The 24332-nt window shown below is 39.7% G+C and overlaps 1 protein-coding gene across 10 annotated transcripts in view, besides 1 other annotated feature; it reads left to right on the top strand.

Moving 5' to 3' along the window:
* The window catches only part of EXOC4 (exocyst complex component 4), an 847874-nt gene that overhangs the window by 749474 nt on the left and 74068 nt on the right, over positions 1-24332 (top strand). For all 10 annotated transcript variants that reach the window (XR_007060126.1, XR_007060125.1, XR_007060123.1 and 7 more), the window contains 2 exons: positions 2361-2539; positions 5125-5284. Coding sequence is in view for 2 of the 10 variants with exons in the window: in NM_021807.4 (NP_068579.3) it covers positions 2361-2539; positions 5125-5284 (339 nt within the window). In the remaining 8 variants the exon portion in view is untranslated. The remainder of the gene's footprint in view (positions 1-2360; positions 2540-5124; positions 5285-24332) is intronic.
* Positions 4011-4211: a silencer, noted in NCBI's record as "peak6743 fragment used in MPRA reporter construct". NCBI's record gives its function as "represses an SCP1 promoter by STARR-seq MPRAs in K562 erythroleukemia cells {active_cell/tissue: K562}" and the evidence as "EXISTENCE:reporter gene assay evidence [ECO:0000049][PMID:32103011]".

Raw genomic sequence — 24332 nt, forward strand, 5'->3', positions numbered from 1 at the left:
CTGCAAAGTCCATATCTGATAAAGGACTTGTATCCAGAATATATAATGAACTCTCAAAACTTAATAATAAGAAAACAAAAAACCCAATTTTTAAAACTGGGCAAATGATTTGAACAGATATTTCATCAAAGATATACACGCAGAAAATAAGCACATGAGAATATGCTCAACATCATTAGTCATTAGGAAAATGCAAATTAAAACCACAGTGAGATACTGCTCTACATCTATTAGGATGACCAAAAATTTTTATTTAAAACTGACAACACCAAGTACTGATGAGGATGTGGAACAACTGGAACTTTTGTATACTGCCAGTAAGTAAGCAAAATGGTACAGCTCCTTTGGAAAGCAATTGGTAATTTCTTACAAAAGTAAACATACACTTACCATAAGTGAGATCTAGCAATCTCACTTCCAGGTATTTATCCAAGAGAAATAAATGCAAAGTTATATGCACACAAAAATGTGTACATGAAGTAGCTTTATCCACAACCACCTAAACCTGGAAAGAATCTAAATATCAATGGGCGAATAGATAATCTGTGGGACATCCAATTCAGTGGAAGGCTACCCAGCAATAAAAAGTAATGAACAACATGGGTGAATATCAAATGCTTTGTGCTAAGTGAAAAAGCCAAACTCAAAAGGCTACATACTGTATGATTCCATTTATATGGCATCCTGGAAAAGACAACTGTAGGGGCAGAAAAATAGATGAGTGGTTGCCAAAGGTTTGGGAGTTGAGTAGGGATTGACTGCAGAGGGACACAGGGAATTTTGGAGGAGATGTTTGTGTTCTGTAATTTGGTTCTGGTGGTGGTTATATGATTGTACATGTTTGTTAAAACTAATAGAACTGTACACTAAAAGGGGGGAGTTATACTGTTTGTAAATTATTTCTCAATAAACCTGACTAAAGAAAGATGACAGGCAAAGCGTGGTCGCATCATTAGAGATAATAATGCCCAAGGCTTTTGCAGCCATTCATTTGGGAATATTTCTTATTACTTGATGCCAACTGTAAAGGTAACAGAACATAGACCCTGGATTATGTCATCATTTCTTACCTCCGGTGAACCTTCCATGCAAGGTCAGACAGAGCACCTAAAACAACAGAGTTAGGACTAGACTGGGCTTATGGAACAGCCTGTTTGAACTCTGCCTGCCAAGGGATACTATTGGTTTGGGATTTTTTTTTTTTTCTGCTACGGTGGGGGATTCAAAACAAATACCTGCATGTAGGGCAGAATTTGGACTGAAACACTTTGATTACAACTTTAAAAGGCTGTGGCAGTGCAGCCAATCCATACCCACCTCAGACTTCCTCAGCAGCTACTAATATCTGCCAAAAAGCACCTGAGAATTGTGTGTGACCAGACTGACACAGGCCATTTTCACACAGAAATGCCCTCCTTCCTCAAGCTGTCAGATATGTTCTGTGAGACTCAAGCATCACCTTCTGTCAGGACCCTTTCCTGATACCCCGTGGCACATTTCCATGGCACGTGGATGGATGTGCTTAGAGTGAGATGCTGTTCTCTTTTAGTCATTTTTTTCTTAATCTACCCCACTAGGTTATGGGTCTTTAGGGATACAAACTGTCTTATATTTCCAGGGCCTAGCACAATTTCTTACAAATTCATAGAGGTTCCATACATGATTTAGTTAACTAATAAATTATTGTTAATAAATATAAGACTAGTGATGACAGCCAGTACTTACTATGCACGCCATTTGTGCCAGACACTGCTATACTTAACACTTTACATGTAGTAGTTACTCACAGCACCTTATGAGACAGGTGTTGTTTTCACCCATATTTCGTGGATAAGGAACTGAGGGATAGAGAGATAAAGTAACTTGCCTAAAGTCATACAGCTGGTGATTGAAGCCAAAGTAGTCTCCTTACACTTTTAAGATCTATAAACTCGGCCTCTCATCTTCATTGCAACAATATCTGTTGAAAATTACAATGCTTTTCACAGTATGCCTACAACCCTGGCATTGAAGAGAATTTTAGAACTCCTTCCCAACACTGTATAGATTAAACAAGCAATGATCATAGCAGCCAGCTTGCCCCAGATCACTCAGTTGTTCTATAGAATAACTAAGATGGCTTTCTGGTTAAAAGAGGGGAGGGTGTTTACATTAAAATGTACAAGGCCACAGCTGCTTCATATTAAGTGTAGAGCATAGTGTCTGGCACAAATAGGGTACACAGTAAGTGTTGGCTATCATGGCTAGTCTTACATTTATTAATGATAATTTATTAGTTATTTTGGTGCTCTGTCCCAAGATCATTGCCCTCCCTGGAAGGATTTATTATTAACTGCTCTCCCTATCTCTCTCTTTTTCAGGGTTCACTGTTTCCACTATCTTATCCCTCTTGCAAAGGAGGGGAACTATGCCATTGTGGCTAATGTGGAAAGTATGGATTATGACCCCCTGGTGGTCAAGCTCAACAAAGATATCAGCGCCATTGAAGAGGCCATGAGCGCCAGCCTTCAGCAGCACAAGTTCCAGTATATCTTCGAAGGTCAGACCCTGCTTCTGTCTCTGGGAGTTTGGGAGGAAGAAAGGATGAAAGTTTTCCTGATTTTCTGTATTACTGAAGTTCAAGACTTGTAGAAAAGAGTTGTTTGCTTGCTTGCTTGTTTGAACTAAATCTGCAATACCTAGCCTCTTTGTGTATGACTAGGTAGACAACAATATGGCCGCCATCTGCTCCGGGTTGATAAGGAGATTTAATCCAAGATAAGGCAGATGGCTGCCTCCCTGACATGCCATTCATGAGATTTGAGAGAATGTGCAGACTGGGCCACAAATTAACTCAAGAGGAGCTTATAAAAGAAAAAGAAAACACACATACACAATGAGGAGAGAATCCTGAAAGATCACTCATTGGCTAAAATTATCACTGGAACGGGAAGTTTTCTCACAGAATGTTATAATCATCTGGAAAGAACAGAAGCCTCTGATTAGAGGCAATTTTTAGGAAGGACGTGTCCATAAATGCCTCCAAGGGGCAGGCAAGGAAGGGTGTGAGAGACAGGAAGTGCCATCTAAAGACATTACCCTTCACAATTTGGAAAAAATGTGATGGCACCCAAATAATTTTTCATGGTGAATTTCACCCAGAGGATCCCTGTTAGGACTCCACATTATGTTCCCTTTGTCCATGTTTTGGTTTGTTTGTATGAAAACTTGTATCTGTGTTCTCTCACAGAATTAAACTAGTATTATTTAAAACAACTAAGAAGGTACATTGTCCAAAGGATTGTGGCAAACTGACAATACATGGCCAATGTTTGCTTTATGAAAGTTATATTCCAGCAAATTTGGGCCCCCCAAAATCCAATCCTTAAATGTATATGGAGTTATAAAGAGATGTGTTCTGTTGGGGTATATCTCTCAAAGACTTTAGCCAAAAAGTGTAAGTGATTGAAGGGTTAGCTGGCAGTTAACCCCATGGCACTATGAGTTTGGTGGCATCTGTAATATTCTGCAGCTTTCAGCTGCAGTGCCTACCTGAGAATTCACTTTTCTGTTATTACACCGAGTTTCCTCTGTGCTCTTGACTGTGGCTCTTCCCAGCCCCTGCATATCAACATTTGTTTTATTCCTATTACAAAATGCATTTAATATATTTATTATAATATATTATTATTTCTTATTCTCTACAAACAGCATACCCCTTCATTGCCCAGTCTTGCAGACCACGTTATATTGTGGCAGCAAAAACAAACAAACAAACAAACAAACAAAAACTGTACCTAAAGTTACAGACTTGAGAGAATGACACCAAAACTTGGCCTACAGAGATTTTTCATATAAATAAGTTGTCTAGTTTTAAATGTAGAATCTGCAGTTGTGTTTTTCTTTGAATAAAAACTTTTCTTCATATTCAAATAGTAACACATACAAGTTTGTGGTCTTGAAGCAATGTTGTTTGAGTGTAGCTGAAGCAAGACCTGAATGCATCTCCTCCCTCATTTCTACTTTCACCTTAATCAAGGGAAAACTCATTTTGAAGACATGGGGAGCCATGGACCTAAAGATAAGCCCCGCACTCTGATCTAAACCTCAGAGTCTCGGGGAAGGGACTAGACTTCAGAACAGGAAAACAACCAATAGCAAATGGCTTGCAACTAGTCAGACCAGTTTACAGTTCCAAGGAAAATGTCCTGCTAGCATCCAAGAATAAGAAAGAAGGAAGAAACGTTTACTGAATTCCATTTAGAATTAAAATCCAGCTTTTAAAAATAGTAACCCATATGTGCCTCACGTTGTTCTGAACCAGTGTCTCTCAACTTAATTACATGGGATATCCTGAGGAGGACTTATTAGTTTGCTGATGTCCTGAGCTGCCCTTTGCTAAATTTTGCAGACCATAAGACAACCCTCCAGACCTAAGAGCAAACTACTTGTGGGGGGGCCCCAAAATGTCCACAGGTGTCTCACGGGAAGTCAACAGTTAATGTATGATCTGCTTTTCCTTCACCCTTTTTTCTAATTGTGTCTTATACACCCATTGCCATTGTTAAGGTATATTAGCATTATTGCCAATAACCCAATTTCTTATTGATTTATTTTTTACTTGGCAATGTTGAAATATATTAACATTATTGCCAATGCCCAGTGTCATATTGATTTTATTTATGTAGCTTCCCAATCAACTTTTGAGCCCAAAGTGTCCTTCTCTACTTTGTAGGAGGAAGGAGAGGCAAAAGGGTCATTGTATATGCCTGTGGTCTTCTCTGCTTCCCAATTGTGTATAAAGAAAAGCGGGATTTCCTGTGTACTTCAACAGTTTATAATAACCTGGCCTCTTCTCTAAGGCCTTGGCATGGTGGCAGTAGGTGTACATGGCAATGCTGGAGATGTGGCTATTACCAGGCTTTGCCACCAACATGAAGTCCACTCATTTGTAACTACTAGGACAATGTAGAAATACCCTAAAATTATTGTCAGATCAGCAGATGCAACCATCAGAGGTAGATTTTCTTTGGTCGTTTAAATGTATAGAGGATTAGAAGACAGCAATTCTGTGTGCAAGTTTCTGCAGGAATGCCTCTAATCTGTCATCCGTTTTCTTTGCCCCGCACTGTGCTGACCCCTCAGGCCTGGGCCACCTGATCTCCTGCATCCTCATTAATGGTGCCCAGTACTTCAGGCGCATCAGTGAGTCTGGCATCAAGAAAATGTGTAGGAACATTTTTGTTCTTCAGCAGAATTTGACCAACATCACCATGTCGCGGGAGGCAGACCTGGACTTTGCAAGGTAGGAGGGAAAACTGGGTTTAGTTTCTTATGCCAAAGCTAAGACCTCGTTGCCTGTGAAGTCATTTTTAAAAATAGACTCTTGGTGCAGAAAAAGCTTAGTTTAAAAAAAGAAAGAAGCACAGATAGATGTTTTTAGGTCCTATAGAGAAAATAATTCCACAGAATTCTATTGAATTTTGTTACTTTGGCAGATAGTTTTTCCTGATGTCTAACCCAAGTTCTTCTTAACTACAATACTTGAATAACTCTTTTTTTCTGCATGTAAAAGTATACATGCTCATTGCATAAAATATATAAGATAAGATACAAAGAAGAATATAAACCTTTGATCTAGAGGCTAAGATATTTGGTATATTTTCTCCTGGCTTTTTTGCATGTGCTGTGTTGTTTATGTGACTTTTCACACATATTCAAGCATGTGATTGCCCTTTTTCCAAAACTGGAACTGTGTTAATGCAATTTTATATTAATTTAATTTTGTTTTCCCCTATCAATAACGTTGTTTGAAAACATAATTTTTCCACGTTCGTTAATACTCCTTGAAAACGTTACTTTTAATGATGCCTGAATAAATATTTCATGGTATAAATGAGCCATATTTATTTTTTCATCACTTGCAAATTTTTGAACATTTGAATTTTTCCCTTTTTTTCTCTCATTGTGAATAACATGTATCTACTGTATTTTTACAGGAACCTACTTCTCATTTCTTCCATCTTGTTCCAATTGAAACCCATCTCTTCTTGTTCTCACTGGGAGGAAAGTGAGAACTCATCACTATCCTTTCTCTTCTCTAAGTTTTCTGATCTTAATTTTTTTTTAAGTGACAGGGTATTGCTCTGTTACCTAGGCTGGAGTGCAGTGGTGTGAACATGGCTCACTATAGCCTTGAATTCCTAGGCTCAAGGGATCCTCCGAGGAGCTGGGACTAAAGGCGAACACCACCATGCCTGGCTAATTTTTATATTTTTTTTATAGAGACAGGGTCTCACTATGTTGCCTAGGCTGGTCTTGAACTCCTGGCCTCACGCAATCCTCCTTCCTCAGCCTCCAAAAGCACTGGAATTATAGGCATAAGTCACTGCACCTGGCCTTGATCTCAATTTTTAATGTTTTTGTACAATACAGTTTTTCAAGATTTGAGAGTTAATTTTTTTCTCTCTTCATTTGTCTTAACCCCATCTAAACCTTAATTAGAATATCAAACCTTTGGTGCTTTAATAAAAGCTTAAGCAATTTGAAGATGATAGATGATAAATATGTTATCTTCATGCTCTATTGCCGTTTATACCTGAGTGGATTATTCCGTAAACTCCCTTATTTTCCAAAGCCTTTATGGCTAGGAAGTCCTTTGTTTTTAATAATGCCCAATGTTTCTGCCTGAGATTTAGTATTTCTGTGGTCTTTTCACTTGATTTTTTTGATTCTTTGAGAAGTGCAGGAAAATTTGAAACAATTTATGGAGATGATGAAATATTATATTACTTCAACAATTGTAAAGACAATATGCTGTGATCTTTGTTTTGGGTATGAACCATATATGTTCATTTTTAACCTTTCTTCCTCAATCTGTTACTCCATTTGTTCCATTGCTACCCTGTTCCTCTGCTTTTCTGTCCTTCTCCTTCCCTGTCTCTTTCTTTCTATTTGTGGGAAAGTGAGAGAGAGAGAGAAAGTGAATGAGTGAGTGTGTGTGTTTTCATTAAATTCCCTGTTTTAGGCTAAATTTGATGGAAAGCCTTCCTTGCTCAGATTAGGGAAACCAGGTGTGACTGAATGCTGCATTTATTTGGTCGCTCTTATGGGGAATGATCTCATTATTGAATTAGTCTAGTCATAATAACATTGACAAGGAGAAGTTAAGAACATAGAAGCCTGAGGGATACAAAAACCCATTACTAATGCTCTAAGGAATATAATTCCTAAATTCAATCATCCTATTTTAAATGATTTTTTTTATTTAGCTGAAATAAGTAAATTAACACAGTTTTTGGCAGACAGTCTGGGGCCTGAAAAACCTGGCATCTGAATAATGCAATGCTGACTGGGCAGGATTGAAGTTGGCATCAGCAGGTCATGTGCCGATGAAGCATTTCTTCAGGAACTGAGTCCCAACCACGCCTTGCCTTTCACAGTCGGATTGGTGAATTGTGTCCCAGGAAGTAGGTACAAGTGGCATGTGACCACTTGGGACATGTATTGCTACTATTATTCTTTATTCTGACATGGATTTTTGACAGGAAATAGGCTAGCATAAAGATACAGCACTGGATGAATCTGTTCTTCTGATTCTGCTTTAGAAGACATCTCCTTACTAAGACTAAGCTCCAAGAGGCCGAGACTCTTTTCTCAGTGCCTCTACCAAAGTAAGTGTTAATTGTATGTACTGAATGAATGAAAAGATATCAAATCAAGGCTAATTTTGGTGTGGATGAAGACCTTGGATATTGACAGGTCAGTTTATGTTTAATTGCCTGAAAGTTTAAAGTAGCCGGCATGGGTCAGTTTTCTTATAAGCTTGTAAGAAAAAGCGTATCTTCCTTGCAGTTCGTTCTTTGTAAAACAGAAACCATATTGTAGCCCTACTACTCATAGTCTCTTTCCCTCTCATTTTTTCTTGTTTTCATACAGACACACTTTATAGCCTTATTTTTCCCCCGCTTCTTGTTTTTGGTAGGGACAGGTTTTGTGAAAGGGGCTCCATCAATTCTACCATATTTGAAGCTATGTAAAATACATAAAACAGCAATACCAAAATAGCCAGAAATAATAGACTGCAGCAGTGTACCTCAGCATTCCTTAAGCAATGTTTAATCAAGCATGGACAGCATCTGTATTTCCAGCAAATCTCTATAGGAATGTTATCTTCTAACACAGTAATTAATCACTAGTTGCCGTGTGTCAGAAAACTTATTTAACAAGAAGTTGCAAAGTGCTTGTAGTTTTCTTACCTTCTCAGCCTTCCTGGCCAGTGGAAAATATAACACCTTTCTGTAATAAAGAAATGAAGGATCTGGAGGGATTCCATTGATGTTGATTCTTCTACTCATAGTATTGTTATCTTGTCTCTCTCTTTTCATGCACACCTTCCCTCTAACTAATCTCTAAATGAGGGTAGATCTTGGGTGAGCAAAGGAACCAGACAACTTGTAACATTACCAGAAGTACAGAGAGCCTCTGTCCTCTATGGTAATGATCATTTAAGCTCTCTTACGGTTTTAACCCCCCTGTTAATTTTCAGAGTCAAAAAGATACTTTATCCAGGAAAATCAGTGTAGATGAGTTAGAAGGTGGAAGGGCTTTATGAGTGTGCTTTTTTAGTTCCTTTCATCACAGATCATCTTAACTTGAGCTGTCATGCACCTTTCCACATGTGAGTCACAGAAGCCACCTAGGAGTCCAGATGGTGGCAGCATAACAAGAGAGGTCTGAACGAACGATGATTGGAGTCCCCAAGATATATCTGACAACCTTTCTAGCTTGAGTGACGCCATTGTTCAAAAAGAATATCCCAGAGTTTTCTTCCCAGTTCTCCCCTCTTTACCCCATTTTGTTTCTTTCTCTGCCTCTTCAGCTGTCTCTTTTTTCTCCTTTATTTCTCCAATAGCTCTACTTCCTGCTCTCCTCCTTCAAGGTTTCATTGCTCCTCAGTTTTTCCCCTGATTTTGGTTTTTTTTGGACTGGTATCTTTCATTCTTAAACCTGCACAAGGTAAGGAAACAAAAGCTACGATTCGGGAAGCGGTAGGGCGAAAAATTGTAACACCCAAGACAGATTCCTCGCCCGGTTATTCCTTCATTTCTTCATTCCTTCATCAAATATTTATTCAGCGTATGTTCTCTGTAGGTCCTGGCCTCATGAAACTTGCATTACTGTGGGGCAAGATGCAAAGTAATAAATAAGTAAAATATATATAAAGTATTTCAGATGATAATATATGCTGTAGTTAAAAAAAAAAAAAAAGAGTAGGCATGGGGAGGGGACCAGAGGGTGCCAGAGTCTAATGGAGGTAATCCGAAATTTTAGAGTGTTAATGGAAGTCCTTAATGAGATGGTAACATTTGAGGAAAAACCTAAAGGAAGAGTAGGAGCAAGCCATGCAGCTATCTAGGGAAAGAGCGTACCAGGAAAGAACGTCTAAGGGTGAAGAGCCAGAGGGAGGCATACACTTAACATCTGAAGAACAGAGCAGAAAGGCCAGCATGGATGAAGTGAGTGAGCAGGGGAAGAGTAAGAGATGAAGTCTGAGGTTTGATCTAAGGAGCTGAGATCTGGAAAGTCATTGTAATGACACTGAGTTTTACTTTGCATGAGGTAGGAAGCTATTAGAAGGTTTGGAGCAGAAGAGTGCTACATAATGTGAATCAGTCTGGCCGCGATGTTGAAACTAACATCACAGTTGTTAGTTGGGGAGGGGAGGTTGTAGGCAAAGGCAGAAGCAGGAAGCTCTGTTAGAAAACTGTGGCAATAATCTTCTAGGTAAAAGGTAGTGGTGATTCAAAGCAAGATGGTAGCATTGGAGAGGATGAGATATGGTCAGATGAGGATATATTTTAAAAGTTGAGCTAACAGGATTTGCTGAGGAATCAGAAGTGAACCAAAGACTACAAAGTTTTTGATCTGAACAATTCAAAGCATGAAGTTTTTATTTACTGTAATGAAAGTGAACCAGACCATAGGAGAGGCTATTGAAGTGTGTGGAGGGCGGAGAGGGGGTTCAGATAGAGAGGGGATAACAAGAAATGTTTGAGATGCCTGTTAGGCACCAGAATAGACATAAAAAGGGAGCCGGCAATACAACCTGGAGTTGAGATGAGAGTTTTGGAGTCATCAGCATATAGGTGGGATTTAAAGTCATGAGAAAGGCTGAGAGGTGAGATCTCAATAGGAGCACAAGTAGATGAAAAAGAGAAGCTGTCCAAGAATTGGACCTTGGGTACCCCACTGTTGAGACGCTGGAGTGCTAGCGAAGAACCAGCAGAGGAAGTTGAGGAGGCAGCCAACAGAATAGGAAGGTAGCTAAGAAAGGGTGTTGTCCCAGAAGTCAAGGGAAGTGTTTTAAGAGAAGTGTGTCTTCATCTGTGTCAAATGCTGTTGATAGGTTAAATTAGCTCAAGACAGAGAACTGGCTACTGGTGGGCTTGACAAGAGGCCTGAAATGCTTTGGTTTGCATTCCTTTATCTTTCATACACAACTTACCTAAAGTAGGAATACGCTTCAAATGTATATATTTGGGAATAAGTTCCTCACTCCTCAAGTCTACGGTAGGGTTTGATGTCATCAGGGCAAAACAAAAATGCAATTAGAGTATTTTTAGTGTGCTATATGAAAGGCCAAATTGGCAGCCTCTCTTTTCTCAAGGTCAGTATCAACATGCATAAATCATGTTGACAGTATGTCTATGTGCCCTTGACATGATGTGATGAAAATGGCACGTTACCAAAACCTATTACCTCAATCTAATCATGAGAAAGACATCAGAAAGATTCCAATAGAGATACATTCTGTGAAATACCTGATCAGTACTCATCCAAACTGTCAAAGCCATCAAAAACAAGGAAAGTCTGAAAAACTATCACAGCCAACAGGAGCCTAGGAGACATGATGACTAAAATGTACTTTGACCTCCTGGATGGGGTCCTGGAACAAAAATAACATTAGGTAAAAACCAAGAGGCCCTGAATGAACTATAGATTTTAGTTAAAATAATGTGTTAATATTGGTTCATTCATTGTAACAAATGTATCATACTAATGTAAGATGTTAATAATAGGGAAACTGGGTACAAATTATATGTGAACTCTGTACTATCTTCTCAATTTTTCTGTGAATCCAAAACTATTCTAAAAATAAAGTCTATTAATAAAAGTATTAGGCAAAGTATTTCAGAGAACATTTATCCAATGAAAATATACAGGTGGCTAATTCATATTAAGCATGAAAAATGCTCAAATTCATTTGTTATTAGGGAAATGCAAATTAAAACCACAATGAGACATCAGTCTGTGCCCAGCAGGATTGCTGTAACAATAAAAAAAAAGAAAAGACAATGAAAATGTTGGCAAGGTTATGGAGAAACTAGAACCCTCATTTGCCGCTGGTAGAAATGTAAAATGGTGCAGCTGCATCATTTCCTCAAAAAGTTAAACATAGAGTTATGGTATGACCTAGGAATTTCACTCCTAGGTATATACACAGATAAATGAAAACATACATGCGTACAAAAATACGCACACAAATGTTCATAGCAAGCATTATGTATAATAGCCAAAAAGTATAAACAGGTTGGGCGCGGTGGCTCACGCCTGTAATCCCAGTACTTTGGGAGGCCAAGGCAGGCAGATCACGAGGTCAGGAGATCGAGACCATCCTGGCTAACACGATAAAACCCTGTCTCTACTAAAAATACAAAAAAATTAGCCGGGCATGGTGGCAGATGCCTGTAGTCCCAACTACTCGGGAGGGTGAGGCAGGAGAATGCTTGAACCTGGGAGGCAGAGCTTGCAGTCAGCCGAGATCGTGCCACTGCACTCCAGCCTGGGCGACAGAGCGAGACTCCGTCTCAAAAAAAAAGTACAAACAACCAGATATCCATCAACGTATGGATGAATAGAACGTGGTACATTCATACAATGGAGTTTATTTGGCCACAGAAAGACATGATGTGCTGAATCTTGAAACATTATGTTAAATTTAAGAAGCTAGTAACAAAAAGCTATTTTGTATGACACTATTCATATGAAATGTCCAAAATAGTCAAATTTATAGAGATAGATTAGTAGGGGTCGAAAGGAAATGGGGAAATAGATAGAGGAGTCTTTGGGGGGTGATGAAAATGCACTAAACTAGATTGTGCTGATGGTTGTACAGCCCTGTGACTATTCTAAAAGTCCTTGAGTTGTACCCTCTAAGTCTGAAAATTATATGGTATATGAATTATATCTCGATGAAGGAGTTTAAAAAAAAAAGAGGTTGAGTTTTAAGACTTGAAAAATTAAATCATTCATCATAGGAAATGAGGAGCCAAAGTTTTATCCTCCCATTAGTGGGGAAACTTTTAAAAGGAAATATTTGGCTCATTTTTTAGTTTCCCTAATCCATCCTGAGAGGTAGAAGATAAAGGAAGAATTTTTGGAGAAGGAGGTGATACTTCATATTAGTCTTCATAGGAATTATCCAGAATAGGGAGAAAGTCATTTGGAAGAGAAAGGGTAGTTCCGGGGACTGGAGAAGATGTTCAAGGAAGGAGGTGGTGAAAGAAGAGACCTGAGTCATCATCAGGCCTGAAGTCAGGGCTGGCTTTGGGTAAGCCACAAATGCCACCTTATTAAGGCCTTCTCTCCTGCACTTTCAAAACATGCCTTCCTCCCCCACCAGCACTCCCTATTGTCCTTACCATGATTTTAAAAAGCGTATATCTGACATATTTCGTATTTACTTATTTGTTCCTCACCTGTCTACACTGAATAGAATGTAAGCTCCATAAGCAGGGACTCTTTTTTGTTCACTGCTGTAGCCCCAGGACCTAAACCAGTACCTGGTATGTAGTAGACATTCAGTAAATACTTGTGGGGTGTTAAAGTTATTTGGACTTTGTCCTGTACGTAACTGAAGGATTTTAAGCAGAGGAGTGAGATGGTCAGATTTATATTCTAAGTACATCATTTCAGCAGCAGTATAGGACTTGGATTTGAGGAAGATAAAACTGGAGGCCTTGCCAATCAACTGGAAGGTGATTGCTAAGAAAGTGGTAGGGGGCTAGGCACGGTGGCTCACACCTGTAATCCCAGCACTTTGGGAGGCCGAGGCAGGTGGATCACGAGGTCAGGAGATCGAGACCATCTTGGCCAACATGGTGAAATCCCGTCTCTACTAAAATACAAAAAATTAGCCAGGTGTGGTGGCACGTGCCTGTAATCCCAGCTACTTGGGAGGCTGAGGCAGGGGAATCACTTGAACCTGGGAAGCGGAGGTTGGAGTGAGCTGAGATCACGCCACTGCACTCCAGCCTAGAGACAGAGCAAGACTCCGTCTCAAAAAAAAAAAAAAAAAAGTGATGTGTAGGGCTTCAACAATGTATCAGTGCTTGGTGGTGGGGGGAGTGGGGATGGAGGAGACATATTTGAGAAGTGTGAAGGAGCTAAAATTGGCAGGTCTTGGAGAGTGATTGAATAGTGAGGGTAAAGTGAAGGAGTCAAGGATGACTCTCCAATTTCTAACATGAGTGTCTAGCCAGATCACACTACAGTCAAGTAAGATAAGGATACAGGAGGAGAGAGGAGTAGGTCTGATGGAGGGAAGATCATCAGTGGTTGTGGTGAGTATAAGATGGATGTGGGACTTCCAAGTGGAGACATCTAACATGCAACTGGATATGTAAACTGGAAGCTTGAGGGAAAGGCCGGGAGTGAACAAACAGATATGGGGAATCATCAGCATGGAGCTATTTAAAACCATTAACGGAGATCAAGGCTGTAGGTAGATGGAGAGTAATCCCCTGGGGAAGACCCAAAAGGGCATGAGAAGGAAGAGGAGCCCCTGAAGAAGATAGGGAAGGAATGGTCTCATAGCACAAGGACAGAACACAGCTCATGAAGACCAAAGAGAGTGCATGATCACATAGCTGCCTGCACAGAAATGCTACTTTCACCATAAATTGATAGAGCATCCTTCTTCCCAATAAATGGAAGCATTTTCTCACGTTAACTTCTCCAACTCTTTTAATTAAACTGTCCAGATACTTTCCTCAAGTGACAGAGTGATAAAGCCAGCCTAGCAACTAAACATACAGATTCAGACCCCTGCTTTATCCTTGACCTTGTACCTTCACTAAGGCCAGGAATGATCTCTGGCATAGCTGAGAATGTTGAATTCCTCCCAGGGGAGCTGTTTACATAAATTTATTTCCTACAAACCTGTTGCACCGGGAACATTACTTTTGTTTTCTGCAGGAAAGGTTGTGAGTTTTCCTATTTGGAATGACCAAAGTGTAGTTTGATAGAAGGGGATTAGCAATGACATGCTGCCACCTACTGGAACTGCCCACAGACAGCCAGACTGAGAATGTCTGTGGTCTCCTAAATCTCCCCTCACTCTTCTGAATCAAGAGTGGGTATTGCCCCTGAAGCGGACTTCAAAGGTGACTTGGCTTGAAAATGTGAAATGCCCCACCTATCAAATAAAAATTTATCTGACTGCTTTGCTAGAAGAACAATTTTGTTTCTGAGAAAGAAGCACAATATTTGTCACATCCTTTTCTCTGTTTGCGTTTCCCAGCTTTATTCTGCCATTGGTCTTGTTTGCCTTCCCAATTCTAGGGGCACCTATCCTTTTCCCAAGATTTGCCTTTAATACCCCAGATTTTTGACTCAAGATTATTAGCCGTGTAGATTTGGGATTAATTTTGTAGAAGAGACTAGTCTGCTGCCAAAAAAATTCTTTTTTTAATGATGATGCCCCTTAAAATGCTGTTAAATCTCTTAAATTTAATAGTGATAAAAAGCTAACCCTGATTTTCCTAGGGGCCAGAGTAAATTGGGAAATGCGATGGTTTACATGGCTTCCACTGCCAGATAGAAAGAAATATACCAGTTGATAAAATTCAGTAATAAAACCAAATCTTGTACGGCCTGATCTGATGGACTTTTTAAAGATCTTTATATAAATAGATTTAAATAATATTACATCTCTCCAATTAAACCTTCATTTGACCTTGCTGTCCCGTTTCTGACCATGCCGCTTTTTTCTGATCTCCCTTTTTTTACATTTACATTAGGTCCCGTGCATTGTAACAATTAATTGATCTCTAATTAATCATTTAATTAGGACTCCTTGAATGCGGGTGAGCATGCCTTACTGGTCTGCATATCCTTCACAGAGCACTTCAGAGCAATAAATACTTCTAAGCCTCTCAAAAAAATCTCTCAGTAACTGACGTTTGATTCCCCATAAACATATCTCATGTGTGAGGCTTTGATTAAGTAAGATTTCTTTTGATTATGCTCAATTAGTGTCACCATATTTTGTATATATATATTGTCAATGTATAATTTAGGGTTCCTCGAGATTACTGGCAGACAGTGACACTCTTCCCTTTGTAGCACATGTGCTGGAATTGGAATGATTCAGAGATTAGCATAGATAGCGAGTATTATTATTATCCAGTAAAGATCCCAAGGAACAGAAATAAGAAGTGACTTGTCCAGAATCTGTCATCGAATCCTGCTGTTTATATATTCTGCAGTACCTTTGTATTCATCATAGTTAGTTAATTAACCCACCCAGGGAGGCTATTTTTCTGCCAGGGAAGGGTTGCATTGTACTGAAAAGATATTAAGCTTGTTCTGTGACTGAAGCCCAAGAATGATCATTTACCGACTCTATTAGAATTCTCACTGAAAAATTTGAGGCTGGAAGCTGACCTTTCTTGTTTTCTAAATAAAGATGTAGTGTTTAAATTTTGATGCTTGAAAGTAGGAAACTGGCACAATCGCTGTCGTAAAAGCAGAGCTACAGCCCCTGTAAACCACATCATGCCAGACTTCCCATCCTGCCCCTCCCTTTACCTGCTTTATCATATACAGGAAGAAAGCCCTTCTCTTCATTCCCACCTCCTGCTTTACTGAACACCCTTTGCTGATCCAAACAGAAAAAGATCAGAGTACTGAAGGAAGGTCACATGGCCACAGTGAATTCTGTGGCCAGCACTCCGCTCAAGGACCTTTTGTTCTCTGAAACCTTCTCCAATGTGCCTGGCCCATATCACTTGCTCTTTTTATAATCCTTTTTTTTTAATTTTCTGTACTCTAAAATTAATACCTCATTATGTGCTATATTGTTCTTCATTTGTTCCCATCTTTTAATATTTTATTCATCTAATTTTTATTAACATGTTCTCTCTCTACTGAATTATAAAGTTCTTGTGACTAGTTACCATGATTGTATTTTGTTTATTTGGTTTCTGGGTGGTTTTCCCCCTTTTACTTCTCTGTAATAGACTACCTGTCAGCAATCTGAAGTATTTATGAAAATAATATGGGTTTTAAAATATGTTTGATATGTATTACTTTCGATGTATGTTTGTTTTTGTTTTTTGTTTGTTTGTTTTTTTGAGACTGACTCTTGCTCTGTCACCCAGGCTGAAGTGCAGTGGCCTGATCTTGCCTCATGCAACCTCCGCCTCCCAGGTTCAAGCGATTCTCCTGCCTCAGCCTCCTGAGTAGCTGGGATTAAAGGCACGCGCCACTACACCCGGCTAATTTTTGTATTTTTAGTAGAGATGGGGTTTCACCATGTTAGCCAGGATGGTCTCGATCTCCTGACCTCAAGTGATCTGCCTGCCTCAGCCTCCCAAAGTGCTGGGATTACAGGCATGAGGCACAGCGCCCAGCCACGATGTATGTTTTAGAGAGCATCTGTAGCTAAATACAAATAGGTTACCAAGAAATAGTTTTTGTACCTAGCTTTACAGACCTTTAACTTTAAACTACTTTCTCTAAAACAAGGAAAGCTCCTGCAAGACATGTGATTTTTTTTTACAAACCATCCTAGAGGCCTATATTGGTGACTTTCTCTCAGTGATGATGATGATGATGATGATGATGATGATGACATATTCCAAGTATAATATGAGTAATTATAATTACTGTTATATAATGATCTCAGCACATGACATGAACGTTAGTAAATGCTTTACCTACATTGGTTCACTGAATGTCCCTGAAACTCTATATTTAGCTATTGCTGCAAAAAGATGAGAAAACTAAAGCTTAACGAAGTTAAGTAAATTCCTAGTTTACATAAGAAGAGAGGCCAGATTCAAACTTAGGTCAATCCAACCCCAAAGTCTATGTATGCTCTTAACTACGTGAAGTAAGGCTACCATTTTGGTCAATGTTGGGTCTCTCTTTTGCTTATATTAAAATATGATTTTATTTTTCAGTTATTCTCTTAGCTATCAAACATTTCTTTTTTCCTTTATTTTCTCTGGTTGGGTGTCTTTCCCCCTTGATTTCCACTGAGCTCTGATTGCTAACTGTTTTAATCAGCTTTAATGGGCAGTTTGACGGCAGAGGGGTCTGCAGACTCTTCCTACCTTGGTGGTGTTATGGGGTTGGTTTTGCTCAGCTGTCAGGTGTTCATGCTGCTTGTGGGTCTTCTGCTGGCCTTCCAAACAACTGTCCTTGGGGAGCAACACTTAGACCCGAGACCACTCTCTCAGAATCTCACCACAAATTAGCACGTCATCAACAGCACTGAGCAGCACCATCATTAATCCAAATGCATACACCTGTGCTTTTAAGACAATAAGCAGCTAAACCAAGTGCTTCCCAAAGACTAGAAGGTATAAGAATTTCCCTATCAGCTACAGGGTCTCTTGCAGGGAAATTGTTTTAAGTGGAAACTCTTTGACTCCATCCCTAAAAGTTCTGATTTAGAAGGCTGAGGGTAGGGCTTGGGCATCTGCGGCTTAACAAGTGCTCAGGAGATTATCATGCAGAAATACCGGCCCTGACCTCGTTTTCTTTGAGATTCATGCAATATCCAGGCCATCGTCTTTCAACCTCATGTTTCTCCTTTAGTCCCCTTTACTCTTATCTCCTACTGCAGGCAGCAAAAGTAAAAATAACTTGAAAGCACTTTTCTAGATTATTTTAAATTATTAAAATGACACACAAGGTGGTCACCATTATTACTCTCAGTTAACATGTGTAGACATTGAGGCAGAGTCGGGTTGTATTCTTGGAAATTTGGGAGTAAACTAAATAGCATTTCATTCACCTAGTAGTTGGCTAATAAATCAACCTTTAATTGTTGCATGAATTTGAGTAAGTCACTTCAGCTCTCTTGGCTGAAGTTTCCTCATCTATAAAATGAAGGGTTTGTGCCTGAAATGGCAGCACTTTGGGAGGCTGAGGCAGGTGGATCACTTGAGGTCAGGAGTCTGAGACCAGCCTGGCCAACATGGTAAAACCCCGTCTCTTCTAAAACTACAAAAATTAGCCAGGCACGGTGGCAGGTGCCTGTAGTCCCAGCTACTTGGGAGGCTGAAGCAGGAGAATGGCGTGAACCCAGGAGGCAGAGCTTGCAGTGAGCCGAGATTGCACCACTGCACTCCAGCCTGGGCGACAGAGCAAGACTGTCTCAAAAAAAAAAAAAATATGAAGGGTTTGATTAGAGGATCAACTATAGGGTCTCTTGCAGATTGGACTTGCCTAGAGTTCCATGACATAAAGCCAGAGAGCGGTTTGAGAGATCTAGAGCCCTGCCTCAACTCCTAGCTCTCAAAAGAGACTATCACAGGAAAGCTATCTAAGAGGAAACAAATTAGCTCCCATCCAATTCCATAAAGATACTGTAAACATGTCTGAGATATGCAGTATATAACAGGCATTTTAATATTTGTTGATTGGACAAACTAATGCCTGTGTGTATGGATGAATTAATGAGGAAGGAAGTACTGTAGGCCTGTTTCTTTTCATAGTCAAGATCGTGCTTAAAGCATTTGCTCACCACACGTACAGGAGAGTAAAACAGATCTAGACGCTGGCTACTGCTTTTGCATGACCTATAAAGGTCTTATAAGGCTCTGAACAGTAATTCAAAATGTAAACGTGTAGGTACTCAAAAACATAAATGTCACATCTGCTTTAGCTCTTCATCTCCATTGCTGTGCTGTAGTTTTCCAATTGATGGAAAGGTTTTATTCAGATCAGCCATTTCTCTTTTTCCTGGAGGCATTCTTAATCTCCGTGTTCTAACCTTTAACAATATAGGCTTCAGTTGCCGTGTGATGATTTCCATTGCCTGGAATCTACATGTTTAAATTCTTCCAAAGAATTGTGCACCTTCTGTTTTTCTCAGTTGCAGATGGAGTCAAACCAGAAAAAAAAAAAAAAAAAAAAAAAAGTGGAGTAGGAGAGGCCAGCTCTTGATTGACTTCTTTCTCTTGACACACACGGTCAGGGGAAGGAATGGATCAATTGCCTCAACTTTTCAGCAGGCATTAACACTGCATCTCATTCTCCTTCAGGCAGTCTGTTTCGCAGAGACACTGATTAAACATTTGGGGTATTGGGGACAGAGGGAGGGAGGGAGAGGTTGGGGATTTTTAGTGGCTAGAGCCTTTTATTGACAACATTAAAGGCTTCATGATATATTTGACCAGAAATTAATTACAGCCCAGTTCCCCATTTCTCCCTTAGGTGACAGTCTTCTGTTGATGTGTGCTGCTGTGAAAGTAATAATAGGTTTCAAATGTTTGTGAAAAACATAAAGTAATTACTTGCTGTGGTAAATCAGTCATTTGAAGCTTCAGCTTTTCTCTGTTCTATGTGTGTGGCAGTCTGTTTCTTTTGTTAACTTTAATTATACAACATATGAGAATTTGTATTTTTCAGTTTTCAGAAGTTTTGCTTTTTTCATTTCTTGGTGCATAGTTCTCCAGGGATATAGGTATTGAAATGATAATGACACATAACCAGCATTTGAACAAGGGAAGCACATGTGTGTGAGGAAGCTGATTGCTTTAGTTAAGTTTCGTAGCTATTGGCTATCAGCTATTTGCCAGTTTTCTAATGGGTCTTAAATATTTACTGTCTGTTGTACAGAGGGGAAGAATTGGCTTTCAGGCATTTTAAGGCTCCTTCCACCAATAGCACTTGTTTACATTATGGGCCCTCAAGCCAAAGAGTCTGTAATAGCTCTTTCCCCTTTTTCAAATTAAAAAAAAAAATCTGTTTTTTTCTATTAAAAGCTGCAGCTCCTTGCCTGGGGTTCTTGCCTTCCAGTAAGATCTGTAAAGATCTGCCTGGATAATACCAACCTCTATGTTGACTCACCTGGACAAAGAGAGAGAAATTTCCTTTTGGCAGCTGTTTTAACAGGGAGCCTTGCCCAGACAGAATAGTGAGGCCTGTATACTGGCCAGCATGGCATATTATCACACATCAATTTCCTTCTGTCTGCACTAAGGCTAGCTCACTCCTCAAAATAGGAATTGTTCACATGTATTTTCAACTCAAATAATTCATGTTAATCTTGTTTCTCTATTTTGTCTAATCTCTCTTGTTCATTCCTGATCAGTGAAGTATCCTTAGTCTGCATTTCAAAGGTTTGCTTAATTTCCCATACCAAGCTGCCCCTCTTAAAACAATGTTTTCCCCATTCGATGTTAACCTCTTTCTTTGAACTATTATTTATATTTAGAACCAAATATAAGAACAGTAAGAACTGGTTATCAGTAATTCCTCTGTATGGAAAATTGTGCTAAACTAGGACTCTGTGCTTTTACATTGCAGTGATAATTGGGATTCATGATGTTTGCCCGAGTCTAGAATATCCCATCCATTACCAAAGAAGAATACTACTACAATTAGTATAGTTAGCATTATATATATTTTGCTGTATTCTGTCTTTGAAAAATCAGTAACTCAATATGATATATCTGAGAATAAGCAAGAATATCTGATTAAAAATACCCCTCATGTTCTTTTCATACTGCATCGTAGAGTATTTATAGCTCTATAATTGTCATAGCATTTCATTTCTTCCATAAGACTAGGTAGTAATGACAAACTGCTTAAAATAATTTTATATTACTTTATTATTTTTAATATTAATAACTACTATGAATTGAGTATTTATTTTGTATAACTTATGTGATTTACACACATTGTCTTATTTAATCCTTATACTAACCTAGTATGTTTACGAATTAACTTTTTCATTTTGCAAATGGGAAAACTCAAACTCTGAAGGATTAAGTAACCCGGGTTCTACACTGTGGTAAATGACAAGACCATGATTCAAAGTCAGGTCTATCTGCAGTTTAGCCATTGCGCTATACAGCTTATGACAATGTAATACATTAGTATTTCAAGAAAATGTACCACAGCCTCAATGTTCTTATTGACTGTATTGCACAGTATTCCTAGTCAAAAGAACTTAAAGGAGGGATGGCAGTGTTTTATCTTCCCAGAGAGGAACTGAAAGGAGATGTTGTATAGTCGACCTGCAGGGTAAAACAAAAGAAGACCCAAGAAGATGATGAAGGAGGATTTTAGCACAGTCCCTAAGGCCTGTCTAGGAATGACCACAGTCATTGATGGGCCCAACACAGGCATGAAGTGGTGTAAGACCTCAGAGAGACCTGGCATGGCAGCAGTGTTAGGGGTGCCCAAATCCAGGAGGAAGGCTGGACCACACCTTACAGGGAGAATGAGTCCACCAAGTACAAACCTCAATTCCCACAGTATCAGTAGAGCTCCTACCTAGGGTGGTACCACAGTGACTGATGAAAGTGTCTTAAAATAGCTCTTAAAAAGTTAGTGGCCAGATACGGTGGCTCTTGCCTGTAATCCCAGCACTTTGGGAGGCCGAGGCAGGCGGATCACGAAGTCAGGAGATCGAGACCATCCTGGCTAACGCGGTGAAACCCCGTCTCTACTAAAAAATACAAAAAATTAGCTGGGTGTGGTGGCAGGCGCCTGTAGTCTCAGCTACTCAGGAGGCTGAGGCAGGAGAATGGTGTGAACCCGGGAGGTGGAGCTTCCAGTGAGCCGAGATCGCGCCACTGCACTCTAGCCTGGGTTACAGAGTGAGACTCCATCTCAAAAAAAAAAAAGAAGCTAGTATGTTTTTAATTAATTTAAAATATTCACAAAGGAGGAGAAATCAAGAAGCTCTGTCTTTTGTTATTTCAATAGAAAATCCAGTCATTTTAAAAGAAAAAGTAGTGATATATTATTGACACTTGTCCATTTTTGGCTACCCCTCCTCTAAAATCTATGTTTAAGGAATTCCCCACAACCTGGTCTTGGAGTGAAACAAAGTGCATCTTCCATCATAAACACACAAAAGCCCAAGCTTGCTTACTGTGTGGGGGACAACCTCAGCTTCGCCCATCAGATGCATGCACTCTGAACTCTGATCGGGGAGCTAAGGACTCCAAGCACAAGGGTGACAGAGCACCACAGAAGGCTCCCTCAGCAGCAGTGGTAACTTCTGGTTACCTAAGGTGGCGGCAGTAGTAGTGGCAGTGGTATGGCCAACATCCACTTCTGCTGGCAGCAGAGCAAGACCTGGTGTTCTGTGTTTAGCAGCAGCTGTGGTGGTATCTTCACAAAACTATCTTTGAAGAGTGATTCTGGAGAGATTTTGGCCACAATCCCAGCTGCTGTCTAGCTTTGTTTATTTCTGCTCCCTTTCCAAGTCTCATTCTCCAGCCTTCCTGGCTCATCTTGGAGTTGCCCAGTACCCTTTCAATAATTCCTTCTCTGCAACTTTGAACCCTGATTGTTACATACATATATTTATGTAAAATCTAGTAATAATTGTTAATCTTAGCTTTTAATTCTGGCAGTCCACAGTGAAGTTTGGAGTCTTACATTATTATTATTACTATTGAAGTTTCAACCCACATTGTATCACTTATCTTGGTCAATTATATAACAAACTTAACTGTCTATCAAGAGTTTTTATTTTTTAAAGAAAAAGCAAAATTGACTGGATTGCATGCCCTGAAGCAAGGCTACCCAGATCTGGGAAAAGTTAGTTATTGGATCTACACATTTGTTTCCCATAAATCATCCCAAAGCGCAGTACCTAAAACAACAACCATTATATGAGTTCTCTTAGTTGAGCAGATTGACTGGGGCCCAGCTGTAAGGTTCTTCTCTGGACTGCCTTGGGTTCTCTCCTGTGGCTGCAGTGGGATGGCAGCTAGGGCTGGAGCATCCGGAATGGCTTGCCTCATCTGTCTGGTGATTTGGTGGGGACAACTGGAAGCCTGGACTCAGCTGGGAGATGGGCATGGCTCAGTTCCTCTCTCTGTTTCTGTGTAGTCTCAGAGATTCCCCCTCTCCATGTAGATTTTCCATGTGATTTCTTCATCAGGGTAGGCATACCTCTTACATGGTTACTTGGGGCTCCCAAAAGCATGAAAGTAGAAGCTATCAAGCCTTTTTAAGGCCTAGACCCAGGACGAGCATAGTATCACTTCTGTCACTTTCTTAAAGCAAGTCACAGGGCTAGCCCAGATTTAATGTAGGAGAGGACTAAATAGAGGCATGAATGACGGGAGGCATGTTTCATTAGGAGTTATCTTTGGAATTTAGTCACCACTATACTTAAACTTCAGCCTCCAGTTATGTGCACCCAACGCAGTGCCTCATACAGTAGACATTCCATCTATTTGTCAGAATGCTTTCAGTGCAAGGAGCAGAAACTTAATTCAAATGATTTAAGCCAATAAAGGAAATTTCTTGAATCATGAAGCTAAGACTTTCAAGGGCTGGTTGGCTTTAGGCTTGCTTTAACCAAGGATTCAGACCGTATCAGCAAGATCGCTTCTTTTCTTCCTCCAACTCCTGCTTCTATTTGCATCTGCTTGTCTTTATAACTACATAGCCTGTCTCCCCACGATGGCAAAGTAGTAGCCCAGACTTATACTCATAGCTGGAAATCTTAGGGAAAGGGAAATCTCTCTTCCAGAATCCACGGAAGGACTCTTGATGGGCTCTGTCTATTTCTGAGCCAATTCCTGTGGCCCAGAGGAATGCAGCATTCTGATTTGACAATTTCAAATCACCCACCTGCACCTGTGGTGAAAAGTTGCTCAGTGTAATCTGGATCTAGAAGAACATTTTCTAGAGAAAAGGAAGGTTTGGTTACCAAAGAAGAGGGATAGATACTAGATAAACAAAAACGAGATAATCCCTAAGCCCAATAGCAGTTTGCTGAATGAATAAAATGTAGCTTATAAATGAGTGGTGCAGACACTACCATACTGAGTTTATTAGGTGTCAAAGAAGATAGACATTTAAAAACAATGCTGTTATGGAAAGATATTTTTATGGAAAGAGGTAGAAGTGCTGCTGGAACATTATTCAAAGTGGGTTGAAATCGTTAGAGAAAATGTTGTAGAAGCAGTTTTTGAACTGTACTTTGAAAAAGGTAAGATTTAGAAGGAAGGAGGATTTTATAGGCAGAGCAACGTTGCTTTCTTAAAAAACAAATGGTGTTAATAAAAGAGAAGGTTACAGAG

Source organism: Homo sapiens, chromosome 7, assembly GCF_000001405.40.
Source record: "Homo sapiens chromosome 7, GRCh38.p14 Primary Assembly".
Lineage (NCBI taxonomy): Eukaryota > Metazoa > Chordata > Mammalia > Primates > Hominidae > Homo > Homo sapiens.